The sequence below is a fragment of the Homo sapiens genome, chromosome 19, assembly GCF_000001405.40.
Source record: "Homo sapiens chromosome 19, GRCh38.p14 Primary Assembly".
NCBI lineage: Eukaryota > Metazoa > Chordata > Mammalia > Primates > Hominidae > Homo > Homo sapiens.
In genome coordinates this window covers 46404661-46429098 of record NC_000019.10, presented here as the reverse complement: position 1 = coordinate 46429098, position 24438 = coordinate 46404661, and the positions used below count along the sequence as shown (strand labels likewise).

Here is a 24438-nt window from a genome sequence, read left to right as displayed (position 1 = left end):
GAGAATCGCGGGCGCTTCTGAGGGCTGGTGGCCGACCCCTCACCTCCGAATGACCCCCTCAGACTCTTGATTTCAATGCGGCCAGTCGGCCAATGGCAGAGGAGATGGATGCTTCAGCGGTTGCCATGGAGACCGCCAGGCCGCAGAGCGGAAGGAGGCGGTGACGTCACCGCGGGAGCAAGTGCAGCGGCCACATCCTCGTCCTAGTCCGGCGACAGGGCACTGAGTGCAACCTCTGGGCCAGCGGTGAGGGACGCGCCTCCCTGCCTGCCAGGGCCGCGCCTACGACACTCTGTTGGCAGTTGTCCCAGGGAGATCAGCAGTCCCAGATCCGGAGAGACCGTTGGGGCCTGTGAGACCTTCGGAGGCCACGCCAAGAAAGGGGAAGCATCATCTTTAGACCCTCCTTGGTGCAGCCTTGCCCAGGACCCGGGAGCCACGAGTCAGGTGGCAAACACCGCCTTCTGCTTCTCCAGCACGCGTAAGTCCCTGGGAATCTTCGAGCCCACTCAGAGGGAGCCACAGAAGCCCCGACGTTGCACAGCCCTGCAGGCAGGGGCTGGGGGCATCCTTCACTGAGCTGGACGAAGGGGTCCTGGGAGCGGCCTCCGGCCCCTGAGGCCTCACTCTCTCGTAGCCTTTGGGAAGGAATCGCGGCATCCTGGATAATTTCGTGGATTCCCGAGGCAGCTCAGGTGTCCACCAGCGGGCATACTGCTGCCTCAAAGAGTTGGGCAAGATGCTGTTCGGGGTGAAGGACATTGCACTGTTGGAGCACGGGTGCAAGGCCCTGGAGGTGGACAGTTACAAGTCCCTGATGATCCTGGGGATCCCGGAGGACTGCAACCACGAGGAATTCGAAGAGATTATTCGGCTGCCCCTCAAACCTCTAGGCAAGTTCGAAGTGGCTGGGAAGGCCTATCTGGAAGAAGATAAATCCAAGGCGGCCATCATTCAGCTGACGGAGGACATCAATTACGCCGTGGTCCCCAGGGAGATCAAGGGCAAGGGCGGTGTGTGGAGAGTGGTCTACATGCCCCGGAAGCAGGACATTGAATTCCTGACCAAGCTGAACCTCTTTCTGCAGAGCGAGGGCAGGACGGTGGAGGATATGGCCCGGGTCCTGAGGCAGGAACTGTGTCCCCCAGCCACGGGCCCCAGAGAGCTGCCTGCAAGAAAGTGCTCTGTGCCTGGGCTGGGGGAGAAACCGGAGGCTGGGGCCACCGTCCAGATGGACGTGGTGCCACCTCTGGACTCCTCCGAGAAGGAGAGCAAGGCTGGAGTTGGCAAGAGGGGCAAAAGGAAGAACAAGAAAAACCGCCGGCGGCATCACGCCTCAGACAAGAAGCTGTGAGGTGGTGGCATCGGGTGGGCGTGGGGAGTGTCTGAGGGGGTGTGGGTGATGACTGTGGGAGGGTAGGTACCACCTCACTACGTTTAAGGAGTGCGAGTGAGTGTGGGTAATGCAAGGGAGGGTGGGAATGACTCTAGTGAGTGGGTAACTTTGGAGTAAGAATGGGTATCATTTGGATAGCACAGGTAACATCTGACTAGTGCGAAAGAGGTGGATATCTTTATCTGAGTTAACTAACTTGTGGGTTACATCTGAGTGGGTGTGGTTAACGTCTGGGTGCCCGTGGCTCATTTATTCATCTTACAGATATTTATTGCATACCTACTATGTTCCAGGAGCTGGGGATATGGAAGGGAGTAAACTCAATAAAAATCCCTGCCTTCATGGCACTCAGAGTAAGTGGGTAATATTTGAATTACTTGGAGACATCAGAGTGAGCGTAGGTAGCATTTGAGTACATGTGGGTAACAGCTGAATGATCATAAAATCTGGTTGAGTGTGGATTGCTCATTCATCCATGTATCCATGCAACCAACAAAATTTCCTGAGGACCTACAGTGTGCCAGGCACTGGGGATACAGAAGGGGAATAAACAGACCAAAACCTTGCCCGTGACTCTCATAGTAGCTATTTGAGTAGGTGCGGGTAACATTTGGGTTACTTGAATACACGTTAGTGAGTGTGGGTAGCATTAGAGTGTGTGGGTGGCATCCGCGTATAATTGAAAGTAGTTGTGGGTAATATTTGAGAGTGTGCGGGTAACACCTGAATATGTGTATGGGTATCATTTGAGTAGATGAGAGTAATTTCTAAGCGAGGAAGGGTCTCAAAGACCCACAAATATCTTCCGCTACTCGGGAGACCCCGCGGGACCAGCCGCGCAGGCGCAGTCAGAGCCAGAACCTAGCAGCGCGTCCGACCGTTGCTATGGAGACCACAGGCTGACCCCAGGCGCCTGCGCCCTTTGCAGAAAATGGAGGAGGTGGAAACGGTCCTGGATTCCAAGGTTTTGCAGATCTCTTACTGGAGTTGAAGAAAACTCACGCAGACCCAGGAGGAACGTGTCAGGGAGATCCCTACTCGGGAGAAGGGCCGCCATCCTCCTTCGGCTGTCACCCACGGCCTGATTCTGGGGACAGCCTCTCTTGCTGGGGGGAGGCGGGCGGCACGGACCCCTCTAGCTTTGCGCCCTCCTGGAAATCCTGTTATTGCAAAGTCTAGAGCCGTTTTCTGTGTTTCAAAAGCATGTACCTTGAATGTACCTCTGGCACAAACTTGTTCGGAGTGGGCCACCCTGTTTTGCGCATGTCAAGCAGAAACCATGGCTGAGAGTGAGTTGCCTGCTCCCCACCTCTGAGGAACTCACTGATCTGTAAGCGGCTCTTGAAAAGCTGTCGTCTTTCTCTACACGCTGAGTCTCTCTTACAGAAGTGGTCAGAAGCGGGACCCTTCTGCCCCGATTGGCGCCTGGGGTGAGGGTGTGAGTCTCCCCAAGTTAAATTCCAGAAGCTCTGGCTTGGTGAGGAGGAGTGAACTCCACTCTCTAAAGAAGAGGCAAGGCTTCTGGGCAATGGTCCAAAAGGAGGTAAATCATTAAGAGGCCATTTTCAAGAGTTACCAATGAACGACGTTAACACTGAGGTGAAGAAGAATTTTAAAAATCAGGTAAAATCCAAATACATGTGAGTAGGCAGATCTTTTGCTCAGAGACAACGGACCTGTCAATTTGCAAACTTGTTAGTTCAAGGATCTGCAAAGGTTTGACTGAATCTCTTTTCAAAAATGTAACTTACACACAACACAAAGACTCAGCCTACCAAATTGTAATGTCAGAGACTCCTAACGTCTTTTTTTTTTGAGACAGAGTCTCGCTCTGTCACCAGGCTGGAGTGCAGAGGTGCAATCTCAGCTCACTGCAACCTCTGACTCCCTGGTCCAAGCGATTCTCCTGCCTCAGCCTCCCTAGTAGCTAGGATTACAGGCATGAACCACCACGTCCAGCTAAATTTTGTATTTTTACTAGAGAAAGGGTTTCACCATGTTGGCCAGGATGGTCTCAATCTCCCGCCTTGGTCTCCCAAAGTGCTGGGATTGCAGGTGTAAGCCACTGCGCCCAGCTTCTCTGTTGATTCTTTTTTTTTTTTTTTTTTTTTTTTTGAGGTGGAGTCTCCTTCTGTAGCCCAGGCTGGAGTGCAGTGGCACGATCTTGGCTCACTGCAACCTCTGCTTCCTGGGTTCAAGTGATTCTCCTGCCTCAGCCTCCTGAGTATCTGGGACTACAGGTGCGCACCACCACGCCCAGCTAATTTTTGTATTTTTAGTAGAGACAGGGTTTCACCGTATTAGCCAGGATGGTCTCAATCTCCTGACCTTGTGATCCGCCCACTTCGGCCTCCCAAAGTGTTGGGATTACAGGCGTGAGCCACCACGCCCGGCCTGATTTTTCTATTCCTTGTAAATGCCCAGCCTGGGCATACCCACTCGCAGAATATTGTACTACTGTGTTCGTTATTGCATCCCAGAGTCTGAGCTTGAATAAATGCTACGAAAGCCTCCAGCGTGTTTGTTGCATGCTGCTCTCCCATCAAGGCATAATCGTTGTATAATAAGGGATAGTGTGACATTTCTTATCATATTGCAGCATGAAGACTGTATTTTGTGCTTATTGTGGATTTCAGGGGTATAACATTTATATTTGTGATACACAACATGCGTGGTTGTTCAATGTTGCCCATGAAATCAAAATCCTACCACTTCTCTTTCAAGATTTTCTGGACCAAAGTGTATCCTGGGACTCCAATGCAAGTTGTCATGCAAAACTGTCACCATTTGAAGCTACTTAGCTGAGTGAAAACATCACTGGTAGGGCAAATCCCAAGCAAAAATTCACAAGTAAATTGAATGTGCCAGCTGTTGGAGGGCTGCATCTGGCTTCTGTAAACCCCTGATTTCAAAAGGGGGTTCAGCTAAAACTCTTCATTGTTCTTTGTGATTGAGATGCTCTTTTGTACAAATATGAACTCATAAAATAAATGTATGCTAATGAAATCATAGTCTGCCCCTTGACATATGGGGGGAAATCCATGTAAGATTTAATTTGGAAAAATGATGTGGCTGCTAAAACAAGTACTGAAAACTGCTTCCATGGCCTGAAGTCTTCCAGGACTGCATTTATTTTTATTTTTATGTACTTATTTATTTTTGAGACAGAGTCTCTCTCTGTTGCCCATGCTGGAGTGCAGTGGCGTGATCTTGACTCACTGCAAGCTCCGCCTCCCGGGTTCACACTATTCTCCTGCCTCAGCCTCCCAAGTAGCTGGGACTACAGGCACCTGCCACCACACCTGGCTAATTTTTTTGTATTTTTAGTAGAGTCGGGGTTTCACCGTGTTAGCCAGGATAGTCTCGATCTCCTGACCTCGTAATCTGCCCGCCTCTGCCTCCCAAAGTGCTGGGATTACAGGTGTGAGCCACCGCGCCCGGCGGAAACACAGCTTTCTTTTATCCTACGGACTTCTCAGGATGTCAGGTCATTTTCCAGTGGCTGGTGTGAAAGGTGAAACAATTTAACTGAAACAAAAACAGTAACAGCTATCTTGTGTTCCAGGCACTATGCCACATTCCTTCATATCATTAACCCATCATATCCTGCCAACCCTGTGAGTTATGGCCCTATAGGTCCACAATCCCTTATAAAAACCCTCAGCCAGGTGTGGTTTCAGGGGTATATGTGGTTCAGAGTTTTGGATTTTAGAAAAATGATACAGTGACTATACCTTATATTGTAGAATTTACTTCCCAGGGGGATGCGGGAAGCCCTTATAATCCCATCAATACTTCTGTAGTGGGCTAGGTGCAGTGGGTCACGCCTGTAATCCCAGTACTTTGGGAGGCCAAGGTGGGAGAATTGCTTGAGGCCAGGAGTTCAAAACCAGCCTGGTCAACACAGCAAGACCCCTATCTCTACAAAAACTAAAAAAAAAAAAAAAAAAATTAGGCACGGTGGCATGCACCTGTAGTCCCAGCTACTCTGGAGGCTGAGGTGGAAGGATCGCTTGAGGCCAGCAGATCAAGGCTGCAGTGAACTGTGATTGCACCACTGCACTCCAGCCTGGATGACAGAGTGATACCCCCCTACATCTCAAAAAAAAAAAAAAGACCAGATAAGAGATTAGATTATCAAACTGTACTATTATTAAGATCATCATCTCATTCTATGGATGAAGAAAGTAAAGCTCAGAAAGGCTAAGTAACTTGTCTAAGGCTACAGAGCAAAGCACAACAGGAATTGAAAACAGGCCTCTGACCACATTCTGTGCTCCTCACACTGATTCGGGTCTCTCTCAGTCTGGGAGGCCCCAGCTGACATCGGAGTCATAGAGCATGATTTCTCTGGTAAACGGCTGGGCAGAAGAAATTCTTCAGGATTCCTTGAGAAACAAGCCAGAGGTGGGTGGCACTCTGAGGGCCTGTTTGAAACTGCAGTACACGCTCTGGTTCTAAGTGGGGGCTTAGAGCAGAGAATAATCTTCGTGCATATTGAATAATCATATCTACCAGGCACTATTCTAAGCATTTTACACAAACAATTTAATCCTCATAAGACTCAACACCATGAGACTGATACAATCTCATTCTCCAGATTTGGAAACTGAGGCACAGAGCCACACGATTTGTAAACAGAGCCAGGATGTGAACCGGAACTGAGTCTACAAACAGCTAGACCACACTGCTTTTTTTTTTTTTTTTTTTTTTGAGATGGAGTCTCGCTCTGTGGCCCAGGCTGGAGTGTTGTGGTGCGATCTTGGCTCACTGCAACCTCCGCCTCCTAGGTTCAAGTGATTCTCCTGCCTCAGCCTCCCAAGTAGCTGGGACTAAAGGCGCGTGCCACTACGCCCGGCTAATTTTTTGTATTTTTAGTAGAGTCAGGGTGTCACCATGTTAGCCAGGATGGTCTCGATCTCCTGACCTTGTGATCTGCCCGCCTTGGCCTCCCAAAGTGCTGGGATTACAGGCATGAGCCACCATGCCTGGCCCACTCTGCCTTTTCTAATAACTGTGAGCATTTACCATCCCTGGGTTCTGTGCCAATACCTATCATGGTCTCGTGAACTGCTCACAACCTCTCCATGAGGTTAAGTCTCATTACAACTGCCATTTTGCAGAGAAGGAAGCCAAGGCTCAGAGAGGTGAAGGAACTGACCCAAGATCACACAGCCACAGGGTGATAGAGCCAGAATTTGAACCCAGGCAGCCTAGCTCCAGAGCCCACGTGCTCCACCACATGGAGGGCTGGCACAGCACAAAGAGGAATGAGGTCTTGGTGGATCCAGGGAGACAGCACCCTGAGGCCTCCTCCCAACAGTCCTTGGTGAGAAACAGGGATTCTGAAGGCAGTCTCTGAGTCTCTGAGTGACCGACACATAACTTGTGATTCCGGCCAGGTGCAGTGGTTCACGCCTGTAATCCCAGCACTTTTGGAGGCTGAGGCAGGTGGATCACTTGAGGCTAGGAGTTTGAGACCAGCCTGGCCAACATGGTGAAACCCCGTCTCAACTAAAAATACAAAAATTAGCCGGGCGTGGTGTTGCGCACCTGTAATCCCAGCTACTCGGGAGGCTGAGGTGGGAGAATAGCATAAAGCTGGGAGGCAGAGGTTCCAGTGAGCCAAGATCATGCTACTGCACTCCAGCCTGGGCGACAGAGTAAGACTCCGTCTCAAAAAGGAAAAAAACATATATATACGTATATCCCAGCTGCATGTGCCCTCTGGTGCTGTGGGACCCCTGGCTGATGGGGCAGGAAGTTGGGGGGAACAGGGAAGGGGTGGGCATATGTGCCTAGGTGGGCACAGAGCACACAGCTCTTCACCTGCTGTTCCCTCTGACTTTCAGTCGCCCTTCAGGCTTTCTTTTTTTTTTTTTCTTTTTTATTTTTTGAGACGGAGTCTCACTCTGTTACCCAGGCTGGAGTGCAGTGGCGCGATCTCAGCTCACTGCAAGCTCCGCCTCCAGGGTTCACGCCATTCTCCTGCCTCAGTCTCCCTAGTAGCTGGGACTACAGGCGCCCGCCACCACGCCCAGCTAATTTTTTTTGTATTTTTAGTAGAGACGGGGTTTCACTGTGTTAGTCAGGATGGTCTCGATCTCCTGACCTCGTGATCCGCCTGTCTCGGCCTCCCAAAGTGCTGGGATTACAGGCGTGAGCCACGGCGCCCGGCAGCAGCTTTATTTCTAAGAACCAAAAACTAGAAACAACTCGATGGCCGACGACAGGTGAATGAATAAACAAACTGCAATGTATTCATGCAACAGAATATGACCTAGCAACAAAAAAGAATGTACTGGCCGGGCGCGGTCGCCCTCCCAGCACCTTGGGAGGCTGAGGCGGGCAGATCATGAGGTCAAGAGATCGAGACCATCCTGGCCAACATGGTGAAACCCTGTCTCTACTAAAAAGACAAAAACTAGCTGGGCGTGGTGGCGGGTGCCTGTAGTCCCAGCTACTCGGGAGGCTGAGGCAGAAGAATTGCTTGAACCGGGGAGGCGGAGGTTGTGGTGAGCCAAGATTGTGCCACAGCACTCCTCCTGTCACAGTTTGGTGACAGAGTAAGACTCCGTCTCAAAAAAAAAAAAAAAAAAAAGGAATGAACCTCAGATGCGTACAGCAACATCGGTGAACCTCAGAAGCGTTATGCGGAGTCAAAGAAGTCAGACCAAAAAGGACACACACTATATACTTCCTTTTACATAAAACTAAAAAAACACTATAGGGACAGAAATCAGAGCAGTGGTTGGGCACAGTGGCTCACGCCTGTATTCCCAGCACTTTGGGAGGCCACAGTGGGTGGATCACTTGAGGTCAGGAGTTTGAGACCAGCCTGGCCAACATGGTGAAAGCCCGTCTCTACTAAAAATACAAAAATTAACTGGGCATGGTAGCGCATGCCTATAATCCCACGTACTCCAGAGGCTGAGGCAGAATTGCTTGAACCCGGGAGGTGGAAGTTGTAGTGAGCCAAGATGGGGCCACTGCACTCTAGCCTGGGCAACACAGCGAGACTCAGTCTAAAAAAAAAAAAAACCAAAAACCCCACCACTTCCAAGGTGCCCGTCACCCATATGTAATTCCTAGGGCGCAGGACACTGTACAAGAATTCTTTCGCTTCAGGGATAATTATTCCTGAGAGACAAGGTCACAGAATAAAATTAGCATGTTTTAATTTGGAATTGCCCTCACTGGACTCAGGGGAATTCGTGGCCACACAACGGGCTCTGTATTCGTTTCCTGTGGCTGTTGTGACACATTACCATATACTAGATGGCTTAAAACATCACAAATGTATTCTCTCATGGTTCTGGAGGACAGAAATCCAAAATCAAGCTGTTGGCAAGGCTGAGCTCCTTCCAGAGGCTCCAGGCGGAGGAACTTGCTTGCCTCTTCAAGCTTCCGGTGGCTCCAGGAGTTCCTTGGCTGCTGACTGCATCTCTCCAGCCTCTGCCTACAGGGTTACATCCACATCGCCTCCTCCACTCTGTACGCCTTTGCCTCTGTGTTATCTTCCTTGGCCTCCTTTTTCTTTTTCTTTCTTTCTTTTCTTTTCTTTTTTTTTTTGAAACAGAGTCTCACTCTGTCTCCCAGGCTGGAGTGCCTTGGTGCGATCTCGGCTCACTGCAACCTCCGCCTCCCGGGTTCACGCCATTCTCCTGCCTCAGCCTCCCGAGTAGCTGGGACTACAGGCACCTGTCACCGCGGCCGGCTAATTTTTTGTATTTTTGGTAGAGATGGGGTTTCACTGTGTTAGCCAGGATGGTCTCGATCTCCTGACCTTGTGATCTGCCCGCCTCGGCCTCTCAAAGTGCTGGGATTACAGGCGCGAGCCACTGTGCCCAGCCCTTGGCCTCTTTTTTCTAAACTTTTTTGAGACAGCGTCTCACTCTGTCACCCAGGCTGGGGTGTAGTGGTGCGATAATGGCTCACTGCAGCCTGGACATCCTATGCTCAGATGCTCCTCCCACCTCAGCCTCCCGAGTAGATGGGACTACAGGCTTGCACCACCACGTCCAGCTAATTTTTTGTACTATTTTTGTAGAGATGGGGTTTTGCTATGTTGCCCAGGCTGGTCTTGAACTCCTGGGCTCAAGCGATCCACCCCACTGAGTGTGGAGATTGGGGCCAGGCATGGTGGCTTCCATCTGTAATGCCAGCACTTTGGAAGGCTGAGGTAGGAGGATCACTTGAGCCCAGGAGTTCGAGATTAGCCTGGAAAATATGGCGAAACTCCAACTTTACAAAAAATTAGCTGGGCATGGTGACATGGGCCTGTAGTCCCAGCTACTTGGGAAGCTGAGATGGGAGGATAGCTTGAGCCCAGGAGGTCGAGGCTGAAGTGAGCAGAAATCGTATCACTGGGCGACAGAGCAAGACCCTGTCTCAAAACAAACAAACAAACAACAAACAAACAAACAAAAAGTGTGTGGAGATTGGAATCTAATAAACCTGAGTGATTCAAAGCTTGGCTCTGCCACTACCTAGCTGTGTGACTTTCCTTGGACTCAGTTTTTTTTTTTAATCTGAAAAATGGGAATAACATTTGCTTAAGGAAGGGTTCTAAGGACTGAATGAGAAAATGCACAGGGCCAAGGATAAAGTAGGTGCTCAGTAAAAATGAATTATTATCAGTATCACGTTCCTGGCTTGAAGGAATAAAGATGGAAGCTGTCGTGACAAACAAAAACAGACTGGCAAGCACTGATACAGAAGGACATTAAGTGAAAACACATTTTATAGTAATAAATCTAGTGCAATTCTCAGCATTCATTCAGTTAATAAATATTTGTAGCTCCTACCTGAAGTGTTCTAGATGCTGAGACTTCAGCAGTGAACAAACCAGACTCATATCCCAGACCTCATGGGGATAGTATTCTAATAGGGTGAAACAATAAATAAGTACATACAAATAGGCCCAGCGTGGTGCCTCTCGCCTGTAATCCCAGCACTTTGAGACCCAGAGGCAGGAGCATCAGTTGAGGCCAGGAGTTCAAGACCGGTCTGGGCAACATAATGAGAATACCTCTCTACAAAAAATTTTTAAAAATAGCCAGGCATGGTGGCACACACCTGTAGCCCCAGACACTCAGAAGGCTGAGGTGGGAGGATTGCTTGAGCCCAGGATTTCGAGGTTACAGTGAGCCATGATCATGCCACTGCACTTCAGCCTGGGTGACAGAGTGAGACCCTGTCTCAAAGAAAAAAAAAAACAAAAACAGAAAGTGGTAAGTGCTGTGATGAAAATAATTTAGGATGATGGGGGAAAAAAATCTCTGTGAGATAAATTCTAAAATTAACATAAAAAAAAAAGCCAGGTGAAGTGGCTCACGCCTGTAATCCCAGCACTTTGGGAGGCCAAGGTGGGTGGATCACCTGAGGTTCGAGATCGAGACCACCCTGATCAACATGGAGACATCCCGTCTCTACTAAAAATACAAAATTAGCTGGGTGGGTTGGCCTGTAATCCCAGCTGCTCTGGAGGCTGAGGCGGGAGAATTGCTTGAACGCGGGAGGTGGAGGTTGTGGTGAGTCGGAGATCGCGCCATTGCACTCTAGCCTGGGCAATAAGAGCAAAACTCCGTCTCAAAAAAAAAAAAATAAATTAATAAAATAAAATAAAATTAACACATACACTAATGCAAGCATTTTTTCTCTGGAAAAATACAGAGATATTTAACTGGTTACTTTTTGGGGAGAGGCTGGAAGGTGGGGTTTGGGGAGAAGAATCCTTTTTTGAAAAAAATTTACCTTTCTGTAACTTTTGCTTTTTCTGACCGTGTATCCTTTTTTGAGACAGGGTGTTACTCTGTTGCCCAAGCTGGAGTACAGTGGCACCACCTCAGCTCACTGCAACCTGTGCCTCCCAGGTTCAAGCGATTCTCCTGCCTCAGCCTCCCTAGTAGCTGAGATTACGGGCGCCTGCCATCGTGCCCAGCTAATTTTTGTACTTTTAGTAGAGACGGTGGGGTTTCATCATATTGGCCAGGCTGGTCTCGAACTCCTGACTTCAGGCGATCGCCCGCGTAGGCCTCCCAAATTGCTTGGATTACAAGCTTGAGCCACTGCCCCTGGCCCGCGTGTCCCATTTTTTTTTTAAATGGCAACAAAATGTAGCTGGGTAGAGGGATTTCAGCCGTGTTTTGTTTCTCTTCCCCATTCTTTTCCAACTTTCCATTTATTTTAAACAAATGCAAAAGTGAGGCTACAGTTCTCGTTTTTATTATTTTATTCTGTGATGGCTGGAGAAGGGTCTCACCTGCCAGAGATCTGTGCAATTAAAAACACCCACAGCTGAACCGTTCAGGGGCTGGCAATTTTTTTTTTTTTTGAGATGGAGTCTCGCTCTGTTGCCCAGGCTGGCGTGCAGATGGGCGATCTCCGCTTCCTGCAGCCCTGACCTCCCGGGCTCAAGCGATAGGCCCACCTCAGTCTCCCGAGTAGCTCAGACCACAGGCGCACACCATAATATTCGGCTAATTTTTAAATTTTTTGTGGAGACCGGAGTCTCGCTATGTTGCCCAGGCTGGTCTCCAATTCCTGGGCTCAAGCGATCCTCCTGCCTTGGCTTCCCAAAGTGCTGGGATTACAGGCATGAGTCACCGCCCCCGGCCGGAGGTTGACGATTTTTGCAAAAATATGGAACATTTGGGATTTTCATTTCTTAGATTATCCTCCTTGCGCCGCTCCCTGCTCCCCCACCAAATAAAAAAAGAAAAACAAACAAAAAACAAAACAAACAAACAAAACGAAAGCCCTTTTATGACTACAAAACCCAAACGTCTCATCTGCGAGGTCACCACTTGGAAGGCACTGTCATGAGCCCTCAGACTTGCGATTCTTTAATCAGCATTCCTGAAACCTAGGTGTCCTTAGGATTTTTCATTTTTTGGTTTCTACAAACAGCTTTTCAGGGAAGCTGGCTTTGGGGATGAGGCCTAAGGGAGGCACCAGGGGCAGAAAAGAGGAGCTCCTGCCCTCGTCCTCCGTGGCGCCCCCACCCCCACCATCTCCCTGCAGCCTCGCCTCCGCCTCCGCCCCACCCGCTTAGTTTTGATCCGCGCGGAGGAGCGCGTCCCGTGGTTGCCATGGAGACCGCCGGACTGCGGAGGCCACAAACTGTGCGAAGGGGGAGGCGAGGGGCGGGGCCGCGGGAGGCCCGGGGGCTGAGCGCGGCGGCTGGGACTGAGCCAGGGAGAAAGAGGAGAAAAATCCAGCGAAGCCCAACGACCTGGCTCTGCAAGAGAAAAACAACCTGAATAAGCCGGTAATTGTGAACAGGCCGCTCGCTGAGACCTTAACGTCCCCTAAGCCCCCACATCTTTTCTTTCCCTCTGGCCCGTCTCTTTTTCCTCCGTTCCCTCTTTAAAAATTTGCCTGGTTCCTTTATGAGTTAAATAAGATCACATTTATTTATTTATTTGAGACGGAGTCTCGCTCTGTCGCCCAAGGTGGAGGGCAGTGGCGCGATCTTGGCTCACTGCAACCTCCGCCTCCCAGTTCAAGCGATTCTTCTGCCTCAGCCTCCCCAGTAGCTGGGATTACAGGCATGTGTCACCATGCCCGGCTAATTCTTATATTTTTGTTCGTTTCTTTTTTTTGTTTGTTTGTTTTTGAGACGGAGTTTCGCTCTTGTTGCCCAGGCTGGAGTGCAATGGCACGGTCTCAGCTCACTGCAACCTCTGAATCCCGGATTCAAACGATTCTCCTGCCTGAGCCTCCGGAGTAGCTGGGATTACAGGCATGCGCCACCAAGACAGGCTAGTTTTGTAGTTTTAGTAGAGGCGGGGTTTCACCATGTTGGCCAGGCTGGTCTCAAACTTCTGACCTCAGGTGATCCACCCGCTTCAGCCTCCCAAAATGCTGGGATTACAAGCGTGAGCCACCGCGCCCGGCAATTTTTGTATTTTTTAGTAGAGATGGGGTTTTGCCATGTTGACCAGGCTGGTCTCAAACTCCGGACCTCAGGTGATCCGCCCGCCTCAGCCTCCCAAAGTGCTGGATTAAAGGCGTGAGCCACGGCGCCCAGCCTGAGATGGAGAATTTTCAAAAGAGTAGAGACAGATCGGACCTAAGTTTTTAAAAGATGCCCCCAGCTTCTGGATGGGGCCTGGATTGCAAGCAGTGATGGGGAGGCGGGAAGCCCAGTGAGGGGGCTTTGTACACATCCAGGCAAGAGTGGCTGCAAGTATTGTGGCTGCTAAGTGGTTAAATGGTGCAACACATTTAGGAGAAGGGGATTAGCTGTGTCTTTAGCGTCAGCTAGTGTTTTAAATGCTAGTGCCCAAGATCTGGTTCTAATATTATATTAGATCCACCACTCAGAGCTGTGCAACTTCAGACCAGCCTCAGTTTCACCGTCTGTAAAAAGATGATTGATGGCACTGGCCTTACCATGTACCTCTGAGGGTTCCTAACAACGAGGCCTATTCAACATGTCTCTGGATGCCTGGTTCCAAAGATGTGGACCAATGCTAGTCGCATGTCCTGTAGCAGGAGGAGCCACGGACAAAACCCCTCAGACACTGGGTTAAGGAAGGATTTGGCTTTTTCGGCCGGGAGCTTCGGCAGACTCGCCTCTCAACTGGCGGGAGCTTCGGTAGACTCGCGTCTCAAGAACCGAGCTCCCGGCCGAATGCGACTAGCATTGGTTCACATCTTGATTCTTTTTTTTCTTTCTTTCTTTCTTTTTTTTTTTTTGAGACGGAGTCTTGCTCTGTCGTCCAGGCTGGAGTGCAGTGGTGCGATCGCGGCTCACTGCAACCTCCGCCTCCCGGGTTCAAGAGATTCTTCTGCCTCAGCCTCCCGAGTAGCTGGGACTACAGGCACGTACCACCACGCGCGGCTAATTTTTTTGCATTTTTAGTAGAGACAGGGTTTCACCGCGTTAGCCAGGATGGTCTTGTCTTGATCTCCTGACCTCGTGATCTGCCCGCCTCAGCCTCCCAAAGGGCTGGGATTACAGGCGTGAGCCACCGCGCCTGGCCATCTTGACTCTTTGGTCGACACAAAAGGCAGACTATTCTGGATTCAAATCCAAACTCAACCACTCCCCATGGCTGTGACCTTGAGAGTGTGGTTTTATGTCCTTGGGCCTCAGTTTCCTCAGCTGTCTAATGGGAATTGTACTCATGCTACCAGTCTCCTGTTATAGCAAGGATTTCCTGAGTTCATTCATAGAAAGCACTGGGAATGGTGCCTACTACATAGGAAGCGCCTCATAAACCGTGCCTATCCTTAGCCATCTCATTCTTTTTTCGAAGTTGCAAAATATTTCACTGTAAGATACTACCATAAAATAGAGGCAGTCTCTACTCGTGAACTTTTAGGGTTTTTTGTTGTTGTTTATTTGTAGGGGTTTTTTTGCACTTTTGTTTTTTTGAGACAGTCTCCCTCTGTTGCGCAGGCCGGAGTGCAGTGGCGCGATCTCTGCAACCTCCACCTCCCAGGTTCACGCCATTCTCCTGCCTCAGCCTCTCGCGTAGCTTGGGACTACGCACGCGCACCACCACACCCGGGGTAGAGACGAGGGTTTCACCATGTTGGGCAGGCTGGTCTCGAACTCCTGGCCTCAAGTGTTCCACCCACCTGGGCCTCCCAAAGTGCTGGCATTACAGGCATGAGCCACCGCGCCTGGCCATGAACATTTGGGTTTATTCATCCCCTCAAAAATATGTATTGAGCCCTGACCTGCCAAGCGCCACAGTGGGACTGTTGCAGTCAGGTACCCATTTCTCTACCCACGCATATAGGTGTACGGGTACCGATAGTCGCGTGAATTTAAAATGCTAATCTGTGGTGCCAGTGGCTCTCAAAAAGTAGAATCCACTAGCACACCCACCTCCCGGACTTGGCTGGAAACTTGCACATTTCGGATGGCAGGTTTGGGAACCGCTGCCTTTCAGGAAAGGTGCTGACGTGGGCCACTGCCGCTTCGCTGGGAAGCAATGGGCCCAGCTAGGCCCGGGGCGCGGCCACACCCCTGTGGGGGAGGGGAAGGAGGCCGCCCCGAAGGGAGTGGACAGCCCCCCTGTCAGTCTTCCAGAGTCTGGGAGTGTAAGATGAGACGGGGGAAGGTGGGCCTCATTCTGGCGGAGGGCGAGGAGGAACTTCCTGCCCGCGCGCTCCACGGTGCAGAGCTCTAAGCGCGCGGGCTGGCAGGCTGCGGCGCGTCAAGGTCAGCCTGGAGCTGGGTGGCGGCCTGCCTGGGGGCGGGGGACCCTACTGGAGGCCCGGGCTGGGGCCTCCCAGCGCCTCGGCCATATTGAATAGCTTCGACTGGACCGTCTTTGTCTGCGAAGTCCTGTCCCAAGTTCCAGCCGCGTCCCTGGGGCCTGGGGCAGGAAGAGTCGCTGGCAGCCCGCGCGCCCCAACTTGGAGCTGGGACACCACGTTTCCAGCTTGGAGTGGGCCTTGAGCCTTGGGACTGACCTCGCCCCCGGCTCACGTAGGCATCCTGGAAATTGATTCCCCCAAGTCCTTGGTGGGGGAGCCGGACTTGGTCAAGACTGTACTTGTTGCAGGCGAAGAGATTGGAGGCGTTTGGCTCGTCCCTGGCTAGGGAGGTGAGACTCTCCGGTCAGCGTTGCTGGAACTCCCCCCATCCAGTCCCTCCCTCAAGACTAAGGGCTACAGTAGTTTGTTGGGGCTCATTGCCCCCTCACCCCAGATATCACCCTGGAGATCTTAAAGACTCTCGAGAAAAGCCACGTGGGGGGCTGGTTCCCCTGGGGCTTCCTGCCGTCCCCCGACTGCCTCATTCTTTGGAGCGTCCCCGATGTCTGCAAAGATGTGGATTTGGACGTCCTCGTGGAAGCCCTAAAGCCCGTGGGGACATTTAAGAAGATCGGCAAGGTGTTCCGCAAGGAGGAGGACTCCACGGTGGGGATGCTGCAGATCGGGGAGGACGTCGACTATTTGCTCATCCCCCGGGAGGTCAGGCTGGCTGGGGGCGTCTGGAGAGTCATCTCTAAGCCCGCCACCAAGGAAGCAGAATTTCGGGAGCGGCTGACCCAGTTCCTGGAAGAAGAGGGCCGCACCCTGGAGGACGTGGCCCGCATCATGGAGAAGAGCACCCCGCACCCGCCCCAGCCCCCCAAAAAGCCCAAGGAGCCCCGAGTGAGGAGGAGAGTGCAGCAGATGGTGACTCCTCCGCCCCGGCTGGTCGTGGGCACGTACGACAGCAGCAACGCCAGCGACAGCGAGTTCAGCGACTTCGAGACCTCCAGAGACAAGAGCCGCCAGGGCCCGCGGCGGGGCAAGAAGGTGCGCAAAATGCCCGTCAGCTACCTGGGCAGCAAGTTCCTGGGAAGCGACCTGGAGAGTGAGGATGATGAGGAACTGGTCGAGGCCTTCCTCCGGCGACAGGAGAAGCAGCCCAGCGCGCCGCCTGCCCGCCGCCGCGTCAACCTGCCAGTGCCCATGTTTGAGGACAACCTGGGGCCTCAGCTGTCCAAAGCGGACAGGTGGCGGGAGTATGTCAGCCAGGTGTCCTGGGGGAAGCTGAAGCGGAGGGTGAAGGGTTGGGCGCCGAGGGCGGGCCCCGGGGTGGGCGAGGCCCGGCTGGCCTCCACCGCAGTGGAGAGCGCAGGGGTATCATCGGCGCCAGAGGGCACCAGCCCGGGGGATCGCTTGGGAAACGCGGGAGATGTTTGTGTGCCCCAGGCTTCCCCTAGGCGATGGAGGCCCAAGATCAACTGGGCCTCCTTTCGGCGCCGCAGGAAGGAGCAGACAGCACCCACAGGTCAGGGGGCAGACATCGAGGCTGATCAGGGGGGAGAGGCTGCAGATAGTCAAAGGGAAGAGGCCATAGCTGACCAGCGGGAAGGGGCTGCAGGTAATCAGAGGGCAGGGGCCCCAGCTGACCAGGGGGCAGAGGCTGCAGATAATCAGAGGGAAGAGGCTGCAGATAATCAGAGGGCAGGGGCCCCAGCTGAGGAGGGGGCAGAGGCTGCAGATAACCAGAGGGAAGAGGCTGCAGATAATCAGAGGGCAGAGGCCCCAGCTGACCAGAGGTCACAGGGCACAGATAACCACAGGGAAGAGGCTGCAGATAATCAGAGGGCGGAGGCCCCAGCTGACCAGGGGTCAGAGGTTACAGATAATCAAAGGGAAGAGGCCGTACATGACCAGAGGGAAAGGGCCCCAGCTGTCCAGGGTGCAGATAATCAGAGGGCACAGGCCCGGGCTGGCCAGAGGGCAGAGGCTGCACATAATCAGAGGGCAGGGGCCCCAGGTATCCAGGAAGCTGAAGTCTCAGCTGCCCAAGGGACCACAGGAACAGCTCCAGGAGCCAGGGCCCGGAAACAGGTCAAGACAGTGAGGTTCCAGACCCCTGGACGCTTTTCGTGGTTTTGCAAGCGCCGGAGAGCCTTCTGGCACACTCCCCGGTTGCCAACCCTGCCCAAGAGAGTCCCCAGGGCAGGAGAGGCCAGGAACCTCAGGGTGCTGAGGGCCGAGGCCAGAGCAGAAGCTGAGCAGGGAGAGCAAGAAGACCAGCTGTGAGGTGAGGGCTAGAGACAGCCCACGGGCCCTCCCTCCAAGTGTGGGAGGGAGAGATGCTCTGCCTCTGAACTTCAAAGTGGAGGTGGAGTGCTGGCCACGTCTCCACCTAACAACCCTCTTTATTCTCTTGTTAAAGTTTTGTTCATGCTTTGATTTTTTTTTAAATTTTTTAGAGACAGGGTCTCACTCTGTTGCCCAGGCTGGAGTGCAGTGGCATGATCATAACTCACTGCAGCCTCAAACTTCTGGCCTCAAGTGATCCTCCTGCCTCGGCCTCCCAAAATGCTGGGATTACAGATGTGAGCCACCACACACACCATCTGATTAAAAAAAAAAAATACTGATTCCTTGTAGCAACCCAAAAAATGTAAAGAAAGAATTCGACACAATGGGGTTGCGTCACCTATAGTTTTCATTTCCTCAAATGCAACTCAAGGTGCTCAGCTTGATAAAGGGAGAGAGGGAGGGCAGGGGAGAAACTGACTCCTTTTTCCATCTCTTTTTTGCCTGCACACTTAATGTGGACTGCCTCCTTGGACTTAAAAAGAGTTGAGCCAACATGCAAATCAAAAAACATTTATGAACTGATTTCTTAGCTTTGGACTTGACAACTGACGAATGCTCTGGGGGTGACCTGGCCCTTGCTGTCCGTTCCACTCCCATCCTTGATGATGGAGACACCTGTGTTTATGTTGTCACTTCGCTTGCCATCCTCATGCCCCGGGCTCTGCTGGTTTGGAGGGGACAGGGCCCTTGGTTTGCACACCTCACCCGATCTTGGTTATAAGGTACAGTAAAAGCGTCTGAAAAATGCATTCAAAACACAGATTCTGGGGCCCTCGGCACCAGAGGTGTGGATTTGCTAGCGGTGCCTGTGTGGCTCTGAATTCTGTTTGCATCAAGCTCCACGGACATCTGGGCAACTCGGCCACTGGACACATTGAAAAATCATTGCAATAGGAAAAGGCCCAAAAGAGGGGCTGTGGTTGGCCGGGCATGGTGGCTCACGCCTGTAATCCCAGCACTTAGGGAGGCCAAGGCGGGTGGATCACGAGGTCAAGAGATCGAGACCATCCTGGCCAACGTGGTGAAACCCCGTCTCTAATAAAAATACAAAAATTAGACTGGCCTTGTGGCGCACGCCTGTAGTCCCAGCTACTCTGGAGGCTGAGGCAAGAGAATCTCTTGAACCCAGGAGGTGGAGGTTGCAGTGAGCCGAGATTGTGCCATTGCACTCCAGCCTAGTGACACAGTGAGACTCTGTCTCAAAAAAAAAAAAAAAAAAAAAAAAAAAAAGAGGCTGTGTGTATTGTGCATTAATTGCTGCTGCATTTTTTTTTTTCTTTTTGGAGATGGAATCTCACTCTCTGTCTCCCAGGCTGGAGTGCAGTGGCACGATCTCGGCTCACTGCCATCTCCGCCTCCCTGGTTCAAGCGATTCTCCTCCCTCAGCCTCCCGAATAGCTGGGACTACAGGTGTGTGCCACCACACCTGGCTAATTTTTGTATTTTTAGTAGAGATGAGGTTTCACCATATTGGCCAAGCTTGTCTTGAACTCCTAACCTCAGCTGATCTGCCCACCTCTGCTTCCCAAAGTGCTGGGATTACAGGCATGAGCCACTGCACGCGGCCAACTGCTTCCTATAATTGGGAAGAAACTGGGTTGCTAAAGCCCTGTGGAGGTTAGGAGGAAGCTGGGGGCCTGTATTGCCTTGTGTCCCCACAACCCCTAGCAGTGAAAAACAGCAAATGACCACACTCTAGCCTTGCTGAGGGCAGGAGAAAAGAGAGTTCGTGGAGGTCCAAAGGCCAGTCTGTCTTCCTAACTGGTTGCAGGCCTGGCCTAAGTTTCTTATTTTTTTCCTCAGGAAAGTAAAGAATTCTATCCCACCACCCTCCTTTTGTTTTTCTCTCTTCCACCCTCCTCCCTCCTTCCCTCCCTCCCCTCCCCTTCCCTCCCTCCCCTCCCCTCTCCCTCTCTCCCTCCACTCCCCTCCCCTCTCCCTCTCTCCCTCCACTCCCCTCCCCTCTCCCTCTCTCCCTCCCCTCTCCCTCTCCCTCCCCTTCCCCCTCCCACCCTCCCTCCTTTCCTTCCTTCCTTCCTTCCCTCTTTCTTTCTTCCTCCCTCCCTCCCTCTCTCTTTCTCTCTCTCTCTTGCTTTCTTTCCTTTCTCTTTCTCTCTTTTCTTTACTCTTTTCTTTCTTTCAAGACAGGGTCTGGCTCTGTCACCCAGGCTGGAGTGTGGTGTTGCAATCACGGCTCACTTGCACTCTTGGGATCAAGCGATCCTCTGGCCTCAGCTCTGGGACTATGGGAGTGAGCCACCGCGCCCCACCCCTGCTCTTTTCTGAGTGGAGTGGTTACTGCTGGTGCTGCTTGCTGCCTGGCGCGCCGCATGGCCTTGCTAGAGCCGCTTTGTGCATGCTGGTGGATACTTGGCCGTGTAGTCCACGGCTCACAGCAAGAACGAGGCCCTGGGAGGTTTGGAAGAAATACAAGCTGTGGACCTCACCTGGAGGGGAGGCTTTGCAGGTGCGCGGAGGAAGACAGGCTGGGTGGGAAGGTTCTGGTTGGTGGGGAGGGAGGCTGTCCTTTGTCGCTGCCCACTTCGGAGGGCAGAGGTCTCGTGACCATGGGGACCTGGCCTGCCTGAGGAGCTGGAAGGTAAAAAGGAACAGCAGAGACAGATGTTTGGAGGGATTCGGAGACTGGAGGAGCCGACGGCATGAATGCAGGAAATGAAGGCTCAGAGCGAGTCTCTCTGCTCCTCCTCCCTGCAGCGCCCAGAGCTATGGGGGGGGGGGGGTCTCGGGGGAACATCAGGGGCCCATGAGAAGGAAAGTGGTGTGGACCCCAAACAAGTGGCAAGATGGAGTTAAACGAGGAGCTGCGTGGATTTCACAGACATCAGGCAACACTGGGTCAGTCTCTCTCACTGCCATACACGTGTGGACACACACATAGACACATGCACACTCGGATCCAGGCACGCAGGCACAGCACATACCACAGACACATGTACACTCAGGCACCACTGGCAGACCCACATTCACCAACAGAAATTATGATTAATCTGCCCATACATAGACACAGACACGGACACACACATGTAGTACACACACGTGTACTCACAGAGGCGCACAGACCCACTGTGCTCCGGGAAGCCAACCCCCACACATTCACAGACCCATTCATACAAACACTGACATACTTGGAAATGTCAACGTGTTCACCCACTCAGGACCCGTCACACACTGCTAGATGCCGTTGGACACTTTGATTCCCTCAGCCAGATGGACACACTCACATGTTATCACACAAACTCAAAAGCCAGGCAGTCACAGACACACAGATGCTTGCAGAAAGTTTCACAGCCGGGCGCGGTGGCTCACGCCTGTAATCCCAGCATTTTGGGAGGCCGAGGTGGGTGGATCACCTGAAGTCAGGAGTTCGAGACCAGCCTGGCCAACATGGTGAAACCCCATCTGTACTAAAAATACAAAAAATTAGCTGGGCATGATGGTGCATGCCTGTAATCCCAGCTACTCGGGAGGCTGAGGTAGGAGGAGGATCAGTTGAACCCAGGAGGTTGCGGCGAGCTGAGATTGCGCTATTGTACTCCAACCTGGGCAACAAGCAAAACCCTGTCTCAAAAAAGAAAAAAGAAACAGTTTCACACCGTCTCCCTGGGTTTTTTTGTTTGTTTTTGTTTTTGTTTTTAGGCAGAGTCTCTGTCAACCAGGCTGGAGTGCAGTGGTGGGATCTCAACTCACTGCAACCTCTGCCTCCCGGGTTCAAGCAATTCTCGTGCCTCAGCCCCCCCAGTCTTACTTGTATACCCGGCCATCCCTGGGTCTTATTTGCATAGCCTTTCTGGGTGGCCCTGAGGCTTTGGGCAAGTCTATCCCCCACTGAGTCAAAATTTGTTGCCCCCCGAGTGAACACAACCTTTTCTGAACTGTTCCCAGCATCCCCACCGTGAGCATTCAGGGAGGCCCCACAGGTAGGGGAGCCCTCTAGTAACTGAGACAGAACAGAGTGTTCGCTATTATATTTCAGCGCAGGGGCCTTCAAACAGCACCTGCAGGGCCAGTCAGTCCCTTGATGCCTCTGGGGTGTGGTTTCAAATGCACGAAGGTTTCCAAGAGGAAGCCCAGGAAACCAGAGATTGGTCTCTGAATCAGCCTTCATCTGGACCAGTCCAGCTGCTCCTCATTGTTTGTTTGTTTGTTTGTTTGTTTGTTTTTGTGACAGAGTCTCGCTCTGTCACCCAGGCTGGAGTGCAGTGGCGCGATCTCGGCTTACTGCAAACTCCGCCTGCTGGGTTCACGCCATTCTCCTGCCTCAGCCTCCCTAGTAGCTGGGACTACAGGCACCCTCCATCACGCCCAGCTAATTTTTTTGTATTTTTAGTAGAGATGGGGTTTCACTGTGTTAGGATGGTCTTGATCTCCTGACCTCGTGATCCGCCCGCCTCGGCCTCCCAAAGTACTGGGATTACAGGCGTGAGCCACCGTGCCCGACCCAGCTGCTCCTCATTTTTACCAAAGAGGAAAATAAGAGGCCACAGGTGATTCCAGAACACAGACATGGAAGGGAGGGATGCCACCCTGAGACATGGGGGTGGAGGGGCTGCGTACAGTGTCTCACGCCTATAATTCCAACACTTTGGGGGGTCGAGATGGGCAGATCACTTGAGGTCAGGAGTTTGAGACCAGCCTGGCCAACATGGCAAAAATCCGTCTCTACTGTAAATACAAAAATTAGCTGGACGTGATGGCAGGTGCTTGTAATCCCAGCTACTTGGGAGGCTGAGGCATGAGAATTGTTTGAACCCAGGAGGCGGAGGTTGCAGTGAGCCGAGATTGCACCACTGCACTCCAGCCTAGGTGACAGAGCGAGATTCTGTCAAAAAAAAAAAAAAAAAAAAAGACATGGGGGTGGAAGGATTTCTGATTTGTGGGTCTCCCTCCCAGGCCCACAGGGTGTGACAGGAGAGCAATTTGGAGCTCAGCTGCCTGGCTCCCCCAGCACCGCTCCTTGCAAGCTGTGTGACCTTGGGCTGGTAACTTGACCTCTCTGTGACTCCATGTCCTCATGGGAAAGGGGGATCATAGCAGAGCTTTCCTTCCAGCATTGCTCAGGGTACTGAAAAGGGTGTGATGTGTTCGTGCTCCAATCAACCCTAGGAGACGTCATCTCGTCTTATTCCTGCTAGGTATCAGCAGCGGCCAGTTTTTCACTGCACACATCGGCCTTGACAGAGACCCCAGGGCAGCAGTCCCCGCCCCGGCTGTCCCTGAAATGACCCGGAGCCCATGTCCAGCATGCACACAGGACCCACTCTGGGAATCTCGGGATGGTGCCAGGCCTCCGCTGGGGCAGCAACAGTCCCTAAAGCTTCCCAGGTGATTCCCAGCAATGGGCAGCCGGGGCTGACAACTGTGACCCTAGGGGTCCTAGAGACCATCAGACCCCACATCTGGGGTCTCAAACTGTGATGCCGGACCGTTTCTCCAACTGGTCCCGTATCGCAGGTGCCTGGGGGGTCCTTCGAAAATTCAGCTTGCCGGGCTGCCTGCCCAAAGGGGTTCTGTAGGTCTCGGGTGGGCCCGAACATGTGTATCTAGTTCCCAGGAGACGTTGGCGCAGCTGGTCCAGAACCTGACTTTGAGAACCGCTGTCCTGCCGCTTTCTGCAGTCTAGCGTTCAAAGGCCAGGGAAAACTTAGGCGCTTCGAGTGCTCGGGAAACACCATCGCCGGCACGATGTAATATTTATTTGCTTATTTTATTTTATTTATGTATATTTATTTTTGTATAGACGAGAGGCGGGGAGCGGGGGTTGGGGGTGGGTCACTATTTTGCTCGGGCCGGTCTTGAACTCCTGGCGTCAAGCTATCTCTTCCCGCACGATTTTAACCAGCGGCCCTGGAGCCTCTTGGTGGTTAAATGGGGCGCTGCAGCTCTTGCGCGTTGACACGCTCTCTGCATATCTACGTGTAGGAGATGTGGCCTCCTATGCAAGGGGCGAAGACTGCGCTGGGGAAGGTGGGGCCTCAGTGGAAACCGGGTCTGGGGAACCCGTTGGCGGTAGGGACTGTCTTTTTCTGTCCCCGGAACCCAGACTTCTCCCTCCCTCCAGCACCTGGTCATGTCCCTAGGAGTTTTCAGGCGCCCCTGTGTCTGAGCTGGCTCCGGGATCGGGGTGGGGGCGGGTTCAGGATCGAGGTCCCTGCCTGGGCCCGCTATCTGAAAGTCTGCACGGCCAAACCTCCCCCACGCCCCCAGCGAACTCTGCAAGCTCATTTCCAGGCTGCCTCACTTTTAAACTCCAGGCACGTGGAAATCCAACCCGACAGCGACCACCATGGAGGCAGGTGGCCTTCTTTGGCCCCACTGCCTCCCCTACGCCAGCACCGAGCCTGGCACGGGAGGGGCAGTAGTCACACATTAACAGCCCCATATTATCACACTCTGGCTTGGGGCTTTTAACCTGGCTCTTCCTGCGCTTCCGGTCATGCGCTTTCCCC

The 24438-nt window shown here is 52.4% G+C and overlaps 2 protein-coding genes across 2 annotated transcripts, besides 11 other annotated features; both read left to right on the top strand.

Annotated features, from left to right (window-relative positions):
- Window positions 163-432: an enhancer, noted in NCBI's record as "active region_14841". NCBI's record gives its function as "activates an Ori minimal core promoter by ATAC-STARR-seq in GM12878 lymphoblastoid cells {active_cell/tissue: GM12878}" and the evidence as "EXISTENCE:reporter gene assay evidence [ECO:0000049][PMID:35858748]".
- PNMA8C (PNMA family member 8C) lies at window positions 163-4402 on the top strand. Its single transcript, NM_001386793.1, has one exon. It carries the CDS (start codon window positions 740-742, stop codon window positions 1352-1354), a length of 615 nt encoding a protein of 204 aa, NP_001373722.1. The 5' UTR covers window positions 163-739; the 3' UTR covers window positions 1355-4402.
- Window positions 1978-2484: an enhancer, noted in NCBI's record as "H3K4me1 hESC enhancer chr19:46929872-46930378 (GRCh37/hg19 assembly coordinates)". NCBI's record gives its function as "activates a minimal SCP1, AML or CMV promoter by ChIP-STARR-seq in naive H9 embryonic stem cells {active_cell/tissue: H9 hESC(naive)}" and the evidence as "EXISTENCE:reporter gene assay evidence [ECO:0000049][PMID:30033119]".
- Window positions 2084-2133: an enhancer, noted in NCBI's record as "active region_14840". NCBI's record gives its function as "activates an Ori minimal core promoter by ATAC-STARR-seq in GM12878 lymphoblastoid cells {active_cell/tissue: GM12878}" and the evidence as "EXISTENCE:reporter gene assay evidence [ECO:0000049][PMID:35858748]".
- Window positions 2485-2992: an enhancer, noted in NCBI's record as "H3K4me1 hESC enhancer chr19:46929364-46929871 (GRCh37/hg19 assembly coordinates)". NCBI's record gives its function as "activates a minimal SCP1, AML or CMV promoter by ChIP-STARR-seq in naive H9 embryonic stem cells {active_cell/tissue: H9 hESC(naive)}" and the evidence as "EXISTENCE:reporter gene assay evidence [ECO:0000049][PMID:30033119]".
- Window positions 2644-2773: an enhancer, noted in NCBI's record as "active region_14839". NCBI's record gives its function as "activates an Ori minimal core promoter by ATAC-STARR-seq in GM12878 lymphoblastoid cells {active_cell/tissue: GM12878}" and the evidence as "EXISTENCE:reporter gene assay evidence [ECO:0000049][PMID:35858748]".
- Window positions 5590-5639: an enhancer, noted in NCBI's record as "active region_14838". NCBI's record gives its function as "activates an Ori minimal core promoter by ATAC-STARR-seq in GM12878 lymphoblastoid cells {active_cell/tissue: GM12878}" and the evidence as "EXISTENCE:reporter gene assay evidence [ECO:0000049][PMID:35858748]".
- Window positions 12479-12568: a silencer, noted in NCBI's record as "silent region_10812". NCBI's record gives its function as "represses an Ori minimal core promoter by ATAC-STARR-seq in GM12878 lymphoblastoid cells {active_cell/tissue: GM12878}" and the evidence as "EXISTENCE:reporter gene assay evidence [ECO:0000049][PMID:35858748]".
- Window positions 12995-13827: an enhancer, noted in NCBI's record as "NANOG-H3K27ac-H3K4me1 hESC enhancer chr19:46918529-46919361 (GRCh37/hg19 assembly coordinates)". NCBI's record gives its function as "activates a minimal SCP1, AML or CMV promoter by ChIP-STARR-seq in primed H9 embryonic stem cells {active_cell/tissue: H9 hESC(primed)}" and the evidence as "EXISTENCE:reporter gene assay evidence [ECO:0000049][PMID:30033119]".
- Window positions 13828-14661: an enhancer, noted in NCBI's record as "NANOG-H3K4me1 hESC enhancer chr19:46917695-46918528 (GRCh37/hg19 assembly coordinates)". NCBI's record gives its function as "activates a minimal SCP1, AML or CMV promoter by ChIP-STARR-seq in primed H9 embryonic stem cells {active_cell/tissue: H9 hESC(primed)}" and the evidence as "EXISTENCE:reporter gene assay evidence [ECO:0000049][PMID:30033119]".
- On the top strand, window positions 15535-18770 carry CCDC8 (coiled-coil domain containing 8 subunit of 3M complex). The gene has a single exon (NM_032040.5). The coding sequence runs from the start codon at window positions 16289-16291 to the stop codon at window positions 17903-17905; it is 1617 nt and encodes a 538-aa protein (NP_114429.2). The 5' UTR covers window positions 15535-16288; the 3' UTR covers window positions 17906-18770.
- Window positions 16328-17161: an enhancer, noted in NCBI's record as "H3K27ac-H3K4me1 hESC enhancer chr19:46915195-46916028 (GRCh37/hg19 assembly coordinates)". NCBI's record gives its function as "activates a minimal SCP1, AML or CMV promoter by ChIP-STARR-seq in naive H9 embryonic stem cells {active_cell/tissue: H9 hESC(naive)}" and the evidence as "EXISTENCE:reporter gene assay evidence [ECO:0000049][PMID:30033119]".
- Window positions 19895-20419: an enhancer, noted in NCBI's record as "H3K4me1 hESC enhancer chr19:46911937-46912461 (GRCh37/hg19 assembly coordinates)". NCBI's record gives its function as "activates a minimal SCP1, AML or CMV promoter by ChIP-STARR-seq in primed H9 embryonic stem cells {active_cell/tissue: H9 hESC(primed)}" and the evidence as "EXISTENCE:reporter gene assay evidence [ECO:0000049][PMID:30033119]".